General features: G+C 42.9%; 3 annotated features.

Moving 5' to 3' along the window:
• Nucleotides 1,315–2,213: an enhancer, noted in NCBI's record as "OCT4-NANOG-H3K27ac-H3K4me1 hESC enhancer chr16:17177634-17178532 (GRCh37/hg19 assembly coordinates)". NCBI's record gives its function as "activates a minimal SCP1, AML or CMV promoter by ChIP-STARR-seq in primed H9 embryonic stem cells {active_cell/tissue: H9 hESC(primed)}" and the evidence as "EXISTENCE:reporter gene assay evidence [ECO:0000049][PMID:30033119]".
• Nucleotides 2,214–3,112: an enhancer, noted in NCBI's record as "OCT4-NANOG-H3K27ac hESC enhancer chr16:17176735-17177633 (GRCh37/hg19 assembly coordinates)". NCBI's record gives its function as "activates a minimal SCP1, AML or CMV promoter by ChIP-STARR-seq in primed H9 embryonic stem cells {active_cell/tissue: H9 hESC(primed)}" and the evidence as "EXISTENCE:reporter gene assay evidence [ECO:0000049][PMID:30033119]".
• Nucleotides 14,585–14,904: an enhancer, noted in NCBI's record as "active region_10501". NCBI's record gives its function as "activates an Ori minimal core promoter by ATAC-STARR-seq in GM12878 lymphoblastoid cells {active_cell/tissue: GM12878}" and the evidence as "EXISTENCE:reporter gene assay evidence [ECO:0000049][PMID:35858748]".

The raw sequence follows: 19,946 nt of genomic DNA, 5'->3' as shown, positions 1-19,946 counted from the left end.
GCTAAGGAGGCTGGGGGGACAAAAGCAGATTGAGCACGAAGGGAGAGCGGTTGGTGTGGAAGTTGGAGAGAAGGGCAGATCATGCATTACCCTGCAGGCCAGGACTCGGAGCTGGCACTGAAGTCTGTGTTTAGTGAAAAGACTGAACTCTACTGTGCAGAGGACAGGTGGAAGTGAGCAACCCTCCATAGGAATGAGGTGAACAGTTATTCAGCTACCGTGATTGACCAAATGGGACTTGATTGACCAGGATGGGAGAGGAGGAAAGAAGAGATACAGTGGGAATGGGGGGAAATGGTAAAATTCAAGAGCTGCTTAAGACACTGCAGGATTTCCAGACAACTTGCTTGCACCATAGATGTCTCCAGGAATAGATATATGCAGGGCAGTGAGAAACCGGGCAAGTTAAGTTACCTTCCTAGTAGTCAGGAGCTGTCCTTGGAAGAGATTGACCTGGAAAGGTGCCCTTAGGCAGAGATGGCTGCTCTGGCCTCGACATGATACCCTGTAAGGCATGGTTCTTTTTCCAAGGAATCAAGTCACGTGGCTGCTCTCAACAGAATTCTTTAGAGAGAAAGTCTTGCTGTTTGTTATTCCATTGAGGAATCTTGGGCTGAGCTTTGTAGTTGTGGAGTCATCAATAAAATCAGGCAAGAATTCCAAAGGCACCAAGCATGAGCCTGCATTCCTTCAGGTTAGTGAAGATTTCCCTGTTGTAACCACTTCTTCGGTAAGCCTTGGAGATGTTTTTTGAATGAGCCACAATTCTCAAAGGCAATGCAAAGAGTTCCTGTGGGGTAAGATTCTGTTTTCAATTTCAAATAGTCCCCAAGTCCCTTCTGCTTTTCAGCACAAGAAAATATGCCTCTAAGAAACAAAATGTTGGAAAATGCTATTATTTCTACTGAAATTAAAGTCTTAGATTCATTTCCTTTCTAGAGAAATGCAGTAGATTAATTTTCCTTCCTGAGAAAGGTGTTCCTCTAAATGTGGGATTCTCAACTGAAGACAATTCCTCCCCCGCCGCCACCCCACTACCCATGGGACACTTGGCAATGTTTGGAGACATATTTGGTTGTCACGGCTTGGGAGTACTATGGGAATCTAGTGAACAGAAGCTAGGGATGCTGTCAACATCCTATAATTCACAGGACAACCCCTCCTACACACACAAAGAATCATATGACCAGGTATGATAGTAGTGCTGAAGCTAAGAAATTTTGCTCTAAACCTCATCTACATCTGCCTTTATTATGGCACTTGGTATGTTGAATATAGAAATAATATTATTCATATCCTTCAGGTAATGTCAGATGAAAGAATGAATGGGTGGATGGATGAATGGACAGGTGGATGAGTAAGTAATTCAGAATTAGCCAGATGAATAAATAAGTAGATGAATAACGACATTAATTAGTGAATAAATTAAATAAAAGCTAACATGTACTTAGCATTTACAACCTTTGTGCACCATGTTAAGGCCTTCACTTGGGATTGTGTTTCAAGTCTTGCTCAGTGGTCACATTTTCAGTGAGATCTTCCATGATGCTGTCATTAATACCATCAGCTTTTCTATCTCCCTCCATAGTGTTATCCTTGCATATATGAGCAGGGAATTTTTGCCTGTTACATTTACTTCAGTGCCTTCAGCACCAAGGACAGTACTGGACACATAGGGAACCCCAACCCTGAATATTTGTTTACATTAATAACGTGCCTTAATACTTTCAGTGAACCAATGAGAAGGGTACATTTTTTTGTTCGTGCATAACAAAATGAAGAAACTGAAGCCCAGAAATATAATGTAATTTGTCCAAGGACATGCAGCTGTTGAGTGGCAGAGCCAGGATTCCTTCTGACCCTAAAGAACACTCTTAACTGTCAAGTAACATTGCCTCTTTTAAGAATGAATGAGTGCAGGTCAGTTGCCTTAAAGACTTTACTTGACTAAGTTGAAGTTCTAAGCACAACACAACTAGTCCCTAGCCTATCTCCCCAACTCTCAACTCCTTTCCTTCCTAAGGTGAAGCAATGATTGAACAAGGATTGCTGAGCTTTGGCAAGGAAGAAAAGGTATGCCTCCACTAGGCTGGCTCTCTTAGAGGCAGGCCAGACTCAGAGGAATGTGCTAAAGGAGTGATGGACTCCAGTCTCTTTGTTTCAGCTTACAAACTTCAATTGGTTGCTAAGAGACTGTACAAAAGGAGGCCCATTAGAAGCCCTCAGAACCCACATGCAGTTACATAATACCAGGCCCTTTCTTTATACAAATGCAAATAGTGCAAGTGCAAGCCCTGCCTGCAATCTGTGCTGATGTGATAAGGTGATTTCTGTTCGGGTCCCAAGAAATCCTGTCTCATGGGGGATGGGCTGGAGGAACCAAACAGTATGGGAGGGTTCTTCCTTCAGTGCCATTTCCAAAGGACTTAAATATTAACATGCAATCCAATCCCCACTCCACAATAATCAGATTTTACACAATCAGGACCCACAATAATTAATTCAGTGATCCTGCGGTATTATTTTCAACATTGCATTTTTGGCATTTCCAGTCCATAAGCAGGGAGACCACTTATTTTATGGCCCTGACTGCTGGGAAACTATGACGTCTTCTATGCAGGCTGAGTAAGTGTCTCTTACTCCTGGAACTATTTCCTTCTTTGTGCTTATCAAACCTAATTCAAACAAGGGGGCCACTAAAGGGAAGTAAGAAACTTCAGAGAAGCCCTATTTGCTCCACAAGCTACCTTTGGTTGGAATCTCCTGGTCTGGAAAAGAACATGATTCCTGATCAGCACAGAAAGACAGGCTTTACGAGTCACCATTCAAAATGACAAAAGAGGTGTAGCAAGGAAAACTAATCCATAGCTACCTAACCTACAACAATCAAAGGACCTGACATTCAACATATTTTATTCCACAGATACTTATAGAATCTCTACCACCTGCTAAACATATTCAAGAAGATGAAGATTTAATGGTGAACCAGAGAGACAATATCCTCCTCCTCTTAAAGTTTACATTAAGCCAAGAGATAACAAGTATGTAAATGAGACAGGAGGTCAGTAGGACTGGTTTCACAAGATACAGGTCACAAGGACCCCGCGGATAAAACAGGATGCACCACAGAAGCTGGCCAAAACCCACCAATACCAAGATGGTGATGAAAGAAAGAAATGTGATGAAAGTGACCTCTGGTCATCCTCACTGCTCATTATACAGTAATTAAAATGCATTAGCATACCAAAGAAAACTCCCACCAGCGCCATGACAGTTTTCAAATGCCCCGGCAACATCTGGAAGTTACCCTATATGGTCTGAAAGGGGGAGGAACCCTCAATTCCAGCAATTTCCTGCTTTTTCAGAGGTGCTCTAACCAGAGTGACTCCATCTTGAATAGGGGCTAGGTAAAATGAGAATGAGACCTGCTGGGCTGCATTCCCAGGAGGTTAGGCATTCTTAGTCACAGGATGAGATAGGAGGTCAGCAGGACTGGTATCACAAGATACAGGTCATAAAGACCCTGCTGATAAAACAGCATACAGTAAAGAAGCCAGCCAACACTTGCCAAATCCAAGATGGAGACAAAAGTGACCTCTGGTCGTCCCCACTGCTTATACGTGAATTAGAATGCATTAGCATGCTAAAAGACACTCCCACCAGCACTACGACAGCTTACAAATGCCATGACGATGTCTAGAAGTTACCCTAAGTAGTCTGAAAAGGGGAGGAACCCTCAGTTCTAGGAATTCCCTAGTCCTTTCACAAAACTCATGAATAATCCACCCTTTGTTTAGCATATAATCAAGAAATAACCATAAGTATGCTCAGTTGAGCAGCCCATATCACTGCTCTGCCTGTGGAGTAGCCGTCCTTTTGTGCCTTTACTTTCTTAATAAACTTGCTTTCACTTAACTATCTACTGGCTCTTGAATTCCTTCCTGTGTGAAGCCAAGAGCCCATGTGGTCTTCTGGACTGAACCCCAATTTTGGGGTTTGACCTGTGACATAAATAAAAATATCAGCTAACGACAAGGGCTATGGAGATAATAAAGCATGGTGATATAGAGAAGGTGTGAATGATAAACAGGAAGGCTGACCACATCTCAATTCATCCAGGACTATCCTGCTTTAAACCCACCATCCTGGCTGAATTGGAGTAAAAGTCCCCTTTTACCCCTTATAAGTGCTCCAGGTTGAATAATAAATTATATGATCACCTTACAAGTGACTATAGCAGGATGCCTGTCACTCTATAGCTACATGAGACTATAGGTAGGTGGGCAGAGAAGGCCTGAGGAGGTAACAATTTTGCTAAGGCAGAATATGACAATAAACCAGCCACAGGAGGATCCAAAGGAAAGTCCTCCTAGGCTGAAAGAACTTGTAAATGAAAAATAAAATTCTAAGCCCCCCAACCATCTGAACAGATCCCTCCTCTTGGCCAAGGGCAATCCAAAGTTAACTTGAAAAACTAGTTCAGGCCATAATGGAAAGGCCAGTTGGAACTCAGGAAAAGCTGACCAGCATTAACATCAACACCGACCTTAAGTCTGATAAGAAACATTTACAATCTATTCTCCCAGAAGCCTGCTACCTGGAAGCTTCATCTGCATGATACAGCTTTGGTCTCCACAACCCATTATTGTACCCCAGACATTCCTTTGTATTTAGATAATAACTCTTTCAACCAATTGCCAATCAGAAAATCTTTAAGTCTATCTATGACTGGGAAACCTCTGCTTCGAGTTGTCCCACCTTTCCAGATAGAACAAAGGTGCATCTTACATGTATTGATTGATGTCTCATGTCTCCCTAAAATCTATGAACACAACCCGTATCCTGACTACCTTGGGCACATGTCATCAAGATCTCCAGAGGCTGTGTCACAGTGTGTCCTTAACCTTGGCAAAATAAACTTTCTAAATTGATTGAGACCTGTCTCAGATAATTCTGGGTTCACAAATCCAAGTTCAAAGTCTGGAGGGAGAAATGAGTCTCTTACAGAGGAGCAGTGTAGCAGGAACGTGATGAAGAAAAGGAAAAGCACAAGATGAGATTGTAGATATGGGCAGGGATCTGATCACATGAAATCATGAAAATTTGGGTACAGAGTCTAAATTTATTTCTAAGAGGCATGGGGAGCCGCTGGTAGTTTTAAAGAAAGAAGTGACAAAAGTTCAATTTTTAAAAGATGACTATTGCAGCATTATTTATAATAGCAAAGACTTGAAACCAACCCAAATGCCCATCAATGATAGACTGGATAAAGAAAATGTGGCACATATATACCATGGAATACTATGCAGCCATAAAAAGAATGAGTTCATGTCCTTTGCAGGGACACAGACGAAGCTGGAAACCATCATTCTCAGCAAACTAACACAGGAACAGAAAACCAAACACTTCATGTTCTCACTCATAAGTGGGAGTTGAACAATGAGAACACATGGACACAGGGAGGGGAACATCACATACCAGGGCCTGTCGGGGGTGGGGGGAAAGGGGAGGGAGAACATTGAGACAAATACCTAATGCATATGGGGCTTAAAACTTAGATGATGGGTTGATAGGTGCAGCAAACCACCATGGCACATATATACCTATGTAACAAACCTGCACATAATGCACTTAAATTAAAAACAAACCTGCACATTCAGAACTTAAATTTAAAAAAAAATTAAGATGACTCAGCTGCAATGAAGAAAATGGATTTTAAAAAGCCATGAGTCAAAATAGAAAGATCAATTAGGATGTAATTGCCACAGCCAAGATAATGGAAGGTGGAGGAGGAAAGTGGATGTTGGTGGTGGTAGAGATCAGGAAACAGAAATGGACTCAGACTTTTTTTTAGATAGAGCTCACTGCACTTACCAATGAGTTAGATGCACAGAGCATAAGCAAAAGAGAAGAATCCTAAGTTTTGGCTGGGGCAACTTTTGGACTAGGATGCTTGGAGCCCAAGAGTTGAGTGAAGATGAGATTTCCTGCACAGGTTTAACATGAAGCTAGATCGACAGTTTACTGAGGGCTTGTTATTAGCCAGGCACTGCAATGAGCATTGTACACCTGAATCTTATTTAATCCTCACAATTCTCCTAAGGGAAAATGCTAGTATTGCCTCTATTTTACAGGTAAAGGAAAAGGTCAGTTTAATTTCTACACAAGTGATCGAATCTTAATTTTTGCATGAGTGATTAAGTTGTGGTTCAAGGATGAGTGGCAGGATTTGTGTAACATTGAGTCCTAGAGGAAATAGAGCAGAATGTCATGGGGAACAAAAGGAACCTCATTTCACTGAGATCTAAGATTTTTGCTTTGAAGTGATTGATTGCCTTTAATAAACATTTAAGTGGTTAGAAGTAATCATGGGAACTCTTGCAAGACAATACTTTGGAGAAAGTTGAGGAGAGAGGAATAGTCCTTAACTGTACCTTCCTTCAAGACTCTAAAGAACAGGAAACCTAGTCTAAAGTCTCAAATAAGGAATTGAAAGAAACTTAGAAGATAATATAATTCAGGAAAATGGCTTGGAATGAAGGGTTCTGCCTCCTCCAGGCTGGGGCTGGGATCACAGGACTGAATAGAAATTTTTTTTCCCGAAGAACCTTAAATTCTAACTTGAGCCAAATGTTTTCCCTTTGAAATTCCAAGTCCTACGAAAATCCCCCCAACTCTGAAGCAGACACAACACTGATGTGGGAAAAGACTTACATGGACCCATTGCATGAAATAAATCCCACTTGCCACCGGCGAGATCTGATGTCCTGGAGTGTCTACTTTGCCCAGATGGGACTGCCTGTTGCAAACCCAACTGCCAATCTCACCTTCGGAAAGGCTGGCTTTAATCCAAATGCATCATGACCAGTCCAATCTTTCATGACAGCAACATCATTTCTCCCAGGGGCTATGTTTTCCCCCACCATCTGGCAGGAAATTATTTTATTAGCTGAAATACAATGAAGGTTGGGCTTAGGGAGAAGAGGAAAGTGTCCACTGTGGTCTCAGGAAACAAGGGGAGGCTGAATGCTTACTCTGAGACAAATCCTATTAGCAATAACATGGATCCGTGGAAAGATTCCGTTCAACAACTCTGAGGACAGACAGAAATGTGACAGGAGAGACATGCCTAATCTGTCAGGTTTGATGATTAAAAAAAAATGAATTCTTTTTCAATTTTCTAGATGTGGGATCAGTGCCACCATTCTCATTTACTTTTAGCCTCAACGAGAGAGAGGGAGGCGGGAGAGAAAAAAGCCGAGAGCTTGTCAAAGACTGCCCAAAGCAGAGGATGGTTTTCTCTTTGGTTGCTTTATTATTATTATTATTATTATTATTATTATTATTATTATTATTATTTAAATATAGCTGTGGTCTCAGCAGGGAAGATCCTACCTCCCCAGGAGGCGTTTTAGAAATGTATGAGGTTGCTTTTTGTTGCCAAAATGGTAGGAGGGGGTCACTACAGGCATTTAGAGGGTCAGGTCCGTGTGGTAGAGAGGACAACCTCAGCCCATGCAGAATTGCCCCATATCCTAGTTAACTTTCAAATGCCATTCTGGACACTCAGGTAGATGAAAAACCTACTTATAAACTCAATTTTTCCCATAAACACAAAGTTATTTTTCACGGTCTTAATTTACAACGAAACTTCTAGGTCTGGGATTCAATTGTAAATTTCACTTTGTTATTCAGAACCTGACGAGCTGTTGCGCATCAATTCAGAAAACAACACCACTGCTGGCAAAGCCACATATGGTACTATAGTTATCAATAAAACACATCCGCATCAGTGGGCTTCTGTGGCTCTCCCATTTATGGTGATTCCCAATATAGGTACAAGCATCTACCTACCTCAGCATGTCTTCTATGTTCATGGCCAAGTATTTGCATACTAAAATACTTATTTTATATAAATTACTTTCCTTCCACCTCCTTTATAATACCATTAGAGCATTAAATTTTTATGAAATTATGTGTGTCTGTGAGTTATATAATCTATGAATTTTATTTCAGGATACTAAAGAGATGTCACAAAATATTAATTTACCTGTATCAAAATATCATATGCACCACATAAATATGTTCAATTATGATCCACAATAATTTATTTTATTTTATTTATTTTTTTTTTGAGATGGAGTCTCACTCTGTCACCCAGGCTGGAGTGCAGTGGCACCATCTCGGCTCACTGCAACCTCCTTCCCCCAAGTTCAAGTGATTCTCTCGCCTCAGCCTCCCAAGTAATTGGGATTACAGGTGCCTGCCACTGCAACCAGCTAATTTTTTTGTACTTTTAGTAGAGACGGGGTTTCACCACGTTGGCCAGACTAGTCTTGAACTCCTGACCTCATGATCCACCCGCCTCAGCCTCCTAAAGTGCTGGGATTTACAGGTGTGAGCCACCGCGCCCAGCCACAATAATTTAAAATAAACCATTTAATAAATATCAAAAGGAAAAGAAGACATTGTGCCTGAAAGTGTTGAAAATCATAAAAATATCACGAAACATTAATAAAGGACATTGTTGAAGAAAAAAAAATCACCCTAATAACCTATTTCTAGCTTTTCAATATTCCCTCCCAGTATTCTCCCGCACACATGACCACTTCTGAATAGTCACAATTTTAGTTCACATTGTCATATTAACCATTCACACCCACCCTTTGAAAAAACCCATTTTGCGGATGGGAAAACCAAGGCTCAGAGAAGTTATGCATCTTCAGAGAATTTGTGAGTAGCTGAGCCAGGTTCTTACTCTAACTTTCACTCCAAAGTGGGCTGCTCCCCAACCAAAGTCCTTTTTCACAATCACTAGCTTTTGCTGGTATACCAATGACCCTTGGACAATAATGACAAGAACCAACAGTTTTGGAGAAAGAGAAGATGGAGAAGGATATGGCAAAGAGACAGAGGAGAAGTAGAAAAAAGAGAAGAGGGAGAGGAAAGAGGTGGATGATGGGGGGTGGAGAAGGTAAAGGGGGAAGGGAAGAGAAAGAGAAGAAAGGGAGTGATGGAGAGGAAGGAGATGAGTAAGGAAAATGGAGGGGAGGAGACGGAGGGAGAGGATGAAATGGCAAGTTGGGCAGGGAAGGGAAGGACCCAAGACGTGGAATCTAGTTCTGGCACTGCTATTTTAGTGGCCATAAGCAAGTCCATTCTCTCTGTGGCTGCTTTTCCATTTGGGGGATTGAGAATCTAAGTGTCTGCCCAACCAATTGCACAGGTTACAGTAAGGCCAATCAGTGCAAAAGATAGGAGAGCATTCTGGAAAAGTTCAAAGGCCTAATACAAAAACAGAAATGGGGCATGTTGTAGCTTCCGTACGGATACCTTCTAGCTGGAGCCTTCAGCCCTTGGAGCTCGTGTGTGTGTGTGTGTATGTTTGTGTGTGTCCAACGTGTACCTTCTCTCCTGTCCCCACCCACACAGAGGTCATTTCAGAGGAAGTGACTGAAATCCACATCTCACCAAGCAACGCGTAGGCTAGCATTTCTCCCCAGTTCACTTTCATTTCTGTGCTATGAGACAGCCCTGGCCAGATGAGGGAGATGTATGAAGCATTTGTCATTGAGGTCCATTGAATTTTATTAGCAATTTTCTCCTTTGTTAGCAATTTCACATTGCATATTAGCATTTGTTTTCATATCATATTAGCATTCATCACAAAAGGCTAATCCCATTAGCACTTTTCACATTGTATTAGAGAAAACAAATAATCGCATGGTGCCAATGCGTCATTGCAACAAGAATGGCCTTTTCATCTGCTGCTTTTCTGTTTATTCCAGATCTGCCCCACCCCTCTGCAGAGCTGCCTATAAATCGGGGAAAACTCACAGATTCTGACTCTATGAACCATCTGAGCTATTCCAGAATTGGGATTTGCCTTTCCAAAAATTTCCATTCATTCGTGAATGTAGTCAATATTTATGGAGCATATACCTGTACTAGCTGTTTCACTAAATGCTAGGGACACATATCAAACAAGACTGTGAAAAATGGGCAAATAATGTTTTCTGCAACTTTCGGGAATATATAAATAAATTGCAAGAGATTGTTTAAACAAACTTTTTTAGAGCACTTTATAGTTGTTCAATTGTCAACAGCATTGACGTGCCAATTTCAACGCTTTTTTTTCTATCATGATCTGTTCATTATAGCAGGTTAAAAAAAGGTTTTTGTTTTTGTTTGTTTGTTTGTTTTTGAGATGGAGTCTCACTCTGTTGCCCAGGCTGGAGTGCAATGGCGCGATCTCGGCTCACTGCAACCTCCACCTCCCAGGTTCAAGAGATTCCTCTGCCTCAGCCTCCCAAGTAGCTGGGGCTACAGGAATGGGCCATAACACCCAACCAATTTTTGTATTTTTAGTAGAGATGGGTTTCACCACATTGGCCCGGCTGGTCTCGAACTGCTGACCTCAAGTGATCCACCCACTTTGGCCTCCCTAAGTGCTGGGATTACAAGCGTGAGCCACTGCACCTGGCTTAAAGGTTTCTTAATAGTTACTGCTCTAGGCTGGGCGCAGTGGCTCACACCTGTAATCCCAACACTTTGGGAGGCCGAGGCGGGTGGATCATGAGTCAGGAGATCGAGACTGTACTGGCTGGCTAACACGGTGAAATCCCATCTCTACTAAAAATACAAAAAATTAGCCAGGCATGGTGGCGGGGGCCTGTAGCCCCAGCTACTTGGGAGGCTGAGGCAGGAGAATGGCATGAACCCGGGAGGCAGAGCTTGCAGTGAGCTGAGATCGCACCACTGCACTCCAGCCTGGGCGACACAGCGAGACTCCGTCTCAAAAAAAAAAAAAAAAAAAAAAAAAAAGTTACTACACTAGACCTCTAGGGCAACATTCTGTTAGCTTAGTTAGAATGTCTGGTTGGACCTAAAAGAAATAACGTATTTCATAATTCAATATATTTCATAATTCAAAATTTTCCTTAATCTTGATTTGTTTCTGAACAAGTGAGGTGTTTTCAAGATTTTGAGGTTTACAAACGTAGATCTTCAGCACATGCAAAGAAATTGTTTTTGTTAATTTTAAAAATGCCTATTTTTCAGATCATTCTCAAAGTAAAACTGACCACCTCTTATCTAATTAATCTCACAGATTGCTTATTAGGTTCAGATACTGGGATTATCAGCATTTCTGGTAAATCCCTCATTTTCCAAAGGAACAACTTTTGGAAACTTGATCTTTAGTCCTAGGTACCATCTGCAAGTCCCCACAGCTAGGCAGATGACGCGTGAAGATGGGGGAAAAGACTTTGTAAACTGTAAAGCTCTCTGCAAATGTGTAAGACTGTGATTCTGAAGCAAGCTGAAAACTCATGCTCAGGGAAAGCATGAAAAGGGAGAAGAGATCTTAAATATTTTAGTGTCAAGGAAATCTTCAGTTGTCTGGTGAAGCCTAGGGATCTCATCTCAGAAAAAGTGGGTTTTTACTATGCATAAAGTAAAATGCATAGTAACTCAGAAAAAAACCAATTATATTGAACTACAGTTATCACAATATTTTTAAGTTGTGATAAACTAATATATGAGGTTCTTTTAAAAATTTATCATTAAAAATATCTTTAAAAATTCATCATGGAAAACATCCAACATAAAAAGAATAAATAGAATAGTATAATGAACCCATGCACCCATTTCCCACCTTCCACGATCATCAATATCCTACCATTCTTTAAGATGTTGAAATCTCCAATATATGCAAAATTTACATTTACAATACAAATTTGCCCTAGTGTTCTAGTGCAGTAACTGTTAAGAAACCTTTAGAAGATCTGCTATAATAAACAGATTATGATGGAAAAAAGCATTGAAATTGGCATATCAATACTGTTGATGATTGAACAACTATAAAGTGCTCTAAAAAAAGTGTTTAAACATGGCCTTGCAATTTATTTATAGATTCCTGAAACTTGCAGAAAACATCATTTGCCCTTTTTTCATTGTCTTCAACGTAGGGAAAATTTACATGCGAGTCTGCAGTTCTGAACTGAACAATTTTGACAAATGGATATGGTTCTGTAACTCACACTTCTAAAGAAATGGGAAATCTTTCCATCCCCCCAGAAGACTCCTTGTTTCGTTTCTTGCCAAGTGTGCTCCCTCATTAATTTACTAAATAACAAGAACTAATGGTGTGTCTGAAATTAGTGTGAATTTGAAGAAGTGATGAGCATTAATACTATTTTGAGATGTCTCTAGCAACTGTAAAGAGATAATTACTTTTTGTTATCTGTTGATAACAAAATCACAGGTAAATGCTGCTACCACTGGGGTTTGTTGGTTAAATTTATTACATGTGCCAGGTACACTGCTGAGCACTTTGCATATATGTAACTCTGGAAATTACTGATAACTATGTGCACCACTCCCCGTTTTAAAAAATGTGGAAACTGGGGTCAAATTAAGTAATAAGCCCCAGCTCACCGAGCTCATGGGCAGTGCTGCTATTAGGATAGAAACCTAAGAATTTAGAACACCTGGACTCTGATTTGGACTCAGTCATTAGCTATGTGATCACAGTGAGATCCTTCTCTCAGTGTTTGCATTTTTGACTGCCAAAATAGAATTCGTAACACCTCCCTTCTAGAGTCATCATGATGATCCTGACGCTCACTAAAGAGTCTGGTAATTTAGAATTCAACGAAATTGTCTCCAACTCCCAACCAGAATATGACTGGAGCCCCACATCTCTCCGAGGTTCCCTAGAGGGACAGGAAGAGGGGACCTGTGTCTTTCCTCATCACATGTGGCTCCAACTTCCTGGTTTCACTAACACTGTTGGAATGGGGGCTGGGGACTGGAAGAGATTTACTGGAAACTTTAATCAAGGCCTGTTGCCCAAGGAGTAGCCAAAGAAGAGGGTGTACGTGTAGTTTATTTCCTGTAACTTTCTTTTCCTACAACTCAACTGTAGTTTGGGGCAAGGTTTTCAATGGGATAGGTTGAGAGTTAACCCTATGACCTAGAGTTGTTGGTGGCAAGTTCTGAAAGTCTTGGTGTTTAACAAGTTCCTCAGGTGATTTTGATGCACAGACATCTTCTGTGAAATATTCAGAATGGTTTTGGCATGTGTTAGAATTTCTTGCGGGCTTCTCAATGTCTAGCACAGGGCTTTAGGGTTCCCAGTAAGTTATTTTGAGATGGGATGTTTTGTTCACTGATGTAGCCCCAGTGCAGTGCCTGGGACATAGTATGTGCTCAATAATAATTATTATTTTGCTTCAATCGAATGACTGTCCTCTTTGAAGAACTTTATAAAGAGATCACTCATTATTTAAACACAGACAAAGGTAAAGAGAAGCTTGGTTCACAGAGATCATGAAGTTGATGATGATGATGATAGACAGTTACTGAACTAGAATGATTCTGGGGCCCCAATTCTTTACCTCTCTTTGTGTTCACACCCTTACTATAAAAATTTGCAATTACTTCAACAAAAGGGAGGGTATGCTTTCCCAATTCTTGACTTTGGGCTCAACTTCGTGACTTGCTTTGGCCAATGGGATATTAGCAGATATGACATGGGATAGATTTGAAATGCACTTATGTGGTTGGGCATACCCTCTAGTGACTAACATCATCACCGTGAGAAGCACTTTCCCTTCAGCCTGAGTCCCAGAATAATCACAGAGTCATCCTATCCTGCAGCAAAGTAGATGCTTATTCACTGCATGCCACTAAGATTGTGTGGGTGTTTGTTATGCAGCACTGACCAACTCATGATGGTGATGGCAGTGACTTTAATAAATATATCCACCTCCATTTTTACAGAGTAAGTTTTAGTAACACAGAGGAGACACAAACTACAAGGGTCCTGGGTTGTGAGGTCTGACTTGGCTTAAATCCAGGCTCTACAACTTACTGTGAGATTAGGACTCGTCATCCCAATGTCCTCATCTCTAAAATAAGAATAGTGTTTATCTTACAATGTAGTGATGAAGAATACATGAGACGATGCCTATTGGGTGCCTGATGCAGAGTAAGCACTCAACAAAACCAGAAGGCAGGGAGGGAGGGAGGGAAAAAAGGAAGGAGGGAGGGAAGGGGGGGAAAAGCAAAGGGGGAGGGAGGTAAAAAAGGAAGAAGGGAGGGAGGAAGAAAGGGAGGGCCAACAAGAGAAAAGGGGAGGGGAGGGGAGTGGAGGGGAGGGGAAGAGAGGGGAGGAAAGGGGAGGGGAAGGGAGGGGAGGAAAGGGGAGGGGAAGGGAGGGGAGGGGAAGGGGAGGGGATGGGAGGAAAGGGGAGGGGAGGGGATGGGAGGAGAGGGGATGGGAGGAGAGGGGAGGGGAGGTGATGGGAGGAGAGGGGAGGGGAGGGGAGGGGACGGGAGGGGAGGAGCGGGGAGGGGAGGAGCGGGGAGGAGAGGGGAGGGGAGGAACGTGGAGGGGAGGAGCGGGGAGGAGCGTGGAGGGGAGGAGCGGGGAGAGGAGAGGAGAGGAGAGGAGAGGGGAGAGGAGAGGGGAGAGGAGAGGAGAGAGGAGAGGGGAGGGGAGGGAAGGGCAGAGGAGGGGAAAGAGGGGAGAAAAGAAAACATTTTTATGCAAACAGAAAGTTCACCTGCAATTGAGGGCAAAAGTTCACAGCTCACACTTCACCTCCTCTCAGCTCTGTTCACCCAGCCTAGACTCTAAGAAGAATGCCATGCCTTTCTCCCTGCGCCTCCCGAGGCACCCAGCATTTCCAGGAGTCCCACGCCAGGTGTTTCATGCTTTCACAAGGCTCTCTTCCTTTAAAACCTGTTGCCACAGGAATAGAGCTTCCGTACTCACAGTACTGGCAAAAGACCGGCAGAAAGAATAAAGAGGGGAGAAATCCACCCTCCTGTATTCTCGCTGGGAAATTACCCTTAGCCTTTGATATATTAAAATTGAAGAGCTGTAAATGCCGGTTGCCATGGCGACGTTTTGCATGCCATCCTGCGATTGGTGGCGTAAGTTCACTTTCCTTGGGGTGTTGCAGCCTAATTAGCTGTTATTTTTGTCAGTGTGGAGGAACAGCCCACACTTGCGGTTTTTGGCGGTGATTGCAGCCCCTGCAGACTCAGTTAATTTTCACAGACTACAAAGAGAGAAATGACTGGGCCCCAGTCAAATTTATAGTCTCGGAAAAGTTGCCAATGTTTAACTAAGAGTCAGAGAAAATGTTAGAGTACTCCTCAACTACTCTGGCAATTTCGGGGTCTCTAGCAATCGCAAAACTTATTGGGGTTGGATTGGGGATAAAATAAGCAGTAGGGCCCGGCACAGTGGCTCACGCCTGTAATCCCAGCATTTTGGGAGGCTGAGGTGGGCGGATCACAAGGTCAGGAGTTCGAGATCAGCCTGACCAACATGATGAAACCCTGTCTCTACTAAAAATACAAAGATTAGCCAGGCATGGTGGTGAGCGCCTGTAGTCCCAGCTATTCAGGAGGCTGAGGCAAGAGAATCACTTGAACCCGGGAGGCGGAGGCTGCAGTGAGCTGAGATCACACCACTGCGCTCCAGCCTGGGCAATAGAATGAGACTCTGTACCAAAACAAATAAATAAAATAAAATAAGCAGTAGTTAACCCAACCCCAGACTCAGTCCTTTGTTCCTGGTTCCAGCTACCTCTGCCTCTCCCGCCAGACATGCGAGCACTTGTGAGTCTGTCCTCGCTGGAATGTTTAGCGTTGCACCGCCATCTCCTAGATGTGGGTACTACACACTAACAGTATTCAAGCAAGGCTAGCAGGGACATGTGAACGCCATTTATTTGATCCACTTCTCTATCTCCACACCCAAAGATGACATAATTATGCCAGCCCACTTGGTAGATCCAGCCAATTCCCTAAAGACCTCCAGGAAAGGAATTCCATGTTGCCACAAGCCTGAAAACCAGAAAGCTGTCTTGCTGCAATTCAAACCAATTTGTTTGCAATTTTGATTATTAAATGGTCTGAAGTTAACTTTGTATTATAATATGAATTGTTCAACTCAAATTCTTTCTCAATTTTTTTTTAAACTATCTACCATGTGTTTTTGAGAACTGAAGGATTCCTTCTCTCTAGGAAAGAGAGAAGCAGATTTTGCTTTGCTAATAATTTGGGTTTCATTTTTATGACTAAGCTAAGCCCTTCCTGAGGGACTGGTAGTGGGGAGAAATTGACGTGTGTGTGTGCGTGTGTGTGTGTTGAGGGCTCAAGAACATAAAGGATATGGAAGAAACTTGAGGTTAATTTAAAAAGAGGGGAAAAGTAGAAAAAACACTGGATAAAGGCCCTAGATGCCTTGAACCTAATCCCAAAAAGCTGTCTTCAGAGGTATAATGGGCACTGTAAAATCCCTCTTTATCACTCTGCTTCTCTGTGTACCCTTCTTTTGTTTGAAGCGTTTACCCACGTTGTGGCAGAAGCTTAAAACTTTCTTTCCTAGAAGCTTTTGCAGAGAGGGCAGAGGCGTGTGGCCTAGGGTCCACCATTCAGTCATATCTGTGTGAGACTTTTCCTCTAGTTCCCACACAGAATCTATCCCAGAGAGAGGAGCAGTAGGAATGTCCAGCTTCCAGAGATAACAAAGGCAGAGATCCCTGCAATAGCATCCCATACCCAGTGCTGGTTCCCAGAATGCAGTTCCTGGCCCAAGATATCAGTAGTGGGAATTCCACCAGCACAGGGCTTCAGCGATGTCCCTGAATCCACGGCCTCTAAGCCAGGTTTCTCTGGAGATTCTCTGAGTGTCTGCAACAAATATCCTTTAGTAAGAATCTATATGTGTGTGTGTGTGTGTGTGTGTACAAGCATACATGTGTGTGTGTATGAGAGAGAATAGAGAGATTACCAGTGGTTATGGTTTTAAGTAGATGAAACCAGCCCAAGGAGTTCCCTAGAAAGAGAATACACATCAGTTCCCTCATGACCCAGGGTTCCAGCTCTTATCCAAGAGACCACGTTTGGGATTATTTTTGACTTCATAACCAACCAAGTGTTATTCTGCCACCATGACTCAAACTAACAGTTAAACTGAATTTGATGAAGGCTTGCTTCTTGGGGATAAGGATTTTCTGGCATTCCTGGAACTTGAGTTTAGCCTTGAGTTGGGTTCAATTATATGCTCCTTGTCCCAGACTTGATGACTTGACTGATTGGACCCAAGGCTCTCCCAGCACCCTGCATGTCTGTCTGTGTCTATCAGCTCTTGCATAAGGCAGATTCTGTTGATGTGTATGGTGCAAGAGGGATGGAATAATGCACTTGATGGGAATGCCCCGCCATCATACTTTGCCCATTGTGAGTAACTTGAGCGTAGACAACTTTCAGCTTCAGAGGAGAGCTGCTCATGTGTGTCAGCCACACACAGGCACAGAGACAGAACACACCCTTCTGCTGTCTTCCAACTGAGATCTAAGATGCAGCAGATGACTTGGCAGAAATGGAACTTGGGTCTTCTTTTTTCTTTTTTTTTTTTTTTTTTTTGAGATGGAGTTTCGCTCTTGTTGCCCTGGCTGGAGTACAATGGCACAATCTCGCTCACTGCAACCTCTGCCTCCCAGGTTCAAGCGATTCTCTTGCCTCAGCCTCTTGAGTAGCTGGGGTTACAGGTGCCCACCACCACTATGCCCAGCTAATTTTTGTATTTTTAGTACAGATGGGGTTTCACCATGTTGGCCAGGCTGGTCTCGAACTCCTGAGCTCAGGTGATCCACCTGCCTCAACCTCGCGAAGTGCTGGGATTACAGGCATGAGCCACCGTACCCGGCCTGGGACTTGGGTCTTCTTAAAGCATCAGTAACACTGGACAAGGTCATAGCCGATAGTGGTAATAGGCTCTGTGGTAGCCCAAAGGGAAGCTGTAAGCAACTCATTTCCTCATTAAACTAGCAAGTGATTACTGTTGCTGCCAGCTAAGAACACTAACTGATGCAGAAGGGCTTAGCTGCCTATTTTTGTAAATAAAGTTTTATTGAAACACATGCTCATTCATTTGCATTGTGTGTATAGCTGCTTTTGCATGACAACGAAAGAGTAGTTGCTCCAGGAGCCTAAAATATTCACTTTCAGGCTCTGTATTAGTCCATTTTGCATTGCTATAAAGGAATACCTGAGGCTGGGCAATTTATAAAGAAAAGAGGTGTATTCAGCTCATGGTTCTGCAGGCTGTACAAGAAGCCTGGCACCAGCCTCTGCTTCTGGTGAGGCCTCAGGAAGCTTTTACCATGCAGGAAGGCAAAGAGGGAACAGGCAAGTCATACGGTGAGACAGAGAGCAAGAGAGGGAGAGGAGGGGTGCCATGCTCTTTTTAACAATCAGATCTTTCATGAACTAATAGAGTTAGAACTCACTCAATGCAGGGACTACACCACGCCATTCATGAGGGACCCCTATGACCAAAACACCTCCCACTAGGTCCCACCTACAACACTGGGGATCGCATTTCAAAACGAGGAGACAAATATCCAAACTACAACAGGCTCTTTACAGAGAAAGTTTGTTGACCCCTGGTCTAGGGCATTGCCACTCAAAGTGTGGTCCCAAGCATAGCAACGGCAGCATGTAGAAGCTTATCAGAAGCGCAATGGGTCACACTCCATCCCAGATGTACTGAATCAGAATCTCTTTGGGGAGTAGGGGGTGAGAAGTGTGTGCATTAACAAGCTCTCTAGGTGATACATAAGCACACTCATGTTTGAGAAGCCCTGGGTTAGAAAGTGTGTCCTTCATACTGTATGGGAATCTGTCAACTTAGAGAAAACATGATGTTTCTAGGTTTTGCCTGAAACTACCCAAAACAAATCTAGTTCTTGCTTCCCTGATGGTCCCCAAGGGACCTGAAGGTGCTTCTTTTTCTTGGAGAGTCTTTACATTCTCCCTGATAAATAGACTCCCACAAAGGTTCTCCATCCATCCCTCCATCACTTTAATCTGGTTTCCTAAGATAGATACTTCAGTTTATCAGTGTTCCTCTCACTGGTGTTGCCTGAACTCTAAACCATAAAATACTTTTGCGGGACCACCGTTACGGCACTGTCTGGTGGTAAGTAAGTAGCAGAGTGCTTAACTACTGGGACCTCGGAATCAGACCGGTGGATTTATACCCTGGCCTTGCCCTATTAGAGGTATGTGACCTTGGCCAAGTTACTTAATCTCTTCCAGCCTATAAAAGGAGCATAATAATAACATCCCCGTTCATGGGACCATTATGAGAGTTAAATGAGATAATGCACAAGCATCTAGCTCTTGATAAATGTTCAAAGAGTGTTATTATTATTAACCAGTGGCCCATCACAAACATTGAGCCTGTTTAGTTACAGCTTTGTGGCAGCCAAAAAGGATGCAGTAAATGGTAGGCTGCCTTTGTACACAAGCCTTGTCTATGGTCATACCATCATGAAGGAAACCATCAGTTCTCTGTGTGCCCAGAAGGCTGTTTCCTTTCTATGACTTAAGTTTTCACTCATAATTACCTTTCCCTGGTTGTCATTCAGCATTTCAGTTCCATTTGACAGCTCAACAATTATTAAGTGCCTACTGTGTGTCAGGCACCACACCAAGCACCAGGTGGAGGTAACCAGAGGACTTTATTCTTGAGACTGTCTCAGTGTAGATCAATGGTTAGAAAAGGGGCCTTTGTAAAAACAACAACGGGTCAGGTGCGGTGGCTCACGCCTGTAATCCCAGCACTTTGGGAGGCCAAGGTGGGTGGATCACCTGAGGTCAGGATTTCGAGACCAGCCTGGCCCATATGGTGAAACCCCGTCTTTCCTACAAGTACAAAAATTACCCAGGCATGGTGGCAGGCACCTGTAATCCCAGCTACTCGGGAGGCTGAGACAGAAGAATTGCTTGAACCCAGGAGGCAGAGGTTGCATTGAGTGGAGATCACACCACTGCACTCCACCCTGGGGGACAGAGTGAGACTCCACCTCAAAAACAAAACAAAACAAAACAAAAACAAAACAAAAAACAAAACAAAA

The sequence above is a fragment of the Homo sapiens genome, chromosome 16 (assembly GCF_000001405.40).
Source record: "Homo sapiens chromosome 16, GRCh38.p14 Primary Assembly".
NCBI lineage: Eukaryota > Metazoa > Chordata > Mammalia > Primates > Hominidae > Homo > Homo sapiens.
The sequence above is the reverse complement of the archived record's forward strand: the minus strand, read 5'-3'. Positions and strand labels throughout refer to the sequence as shown.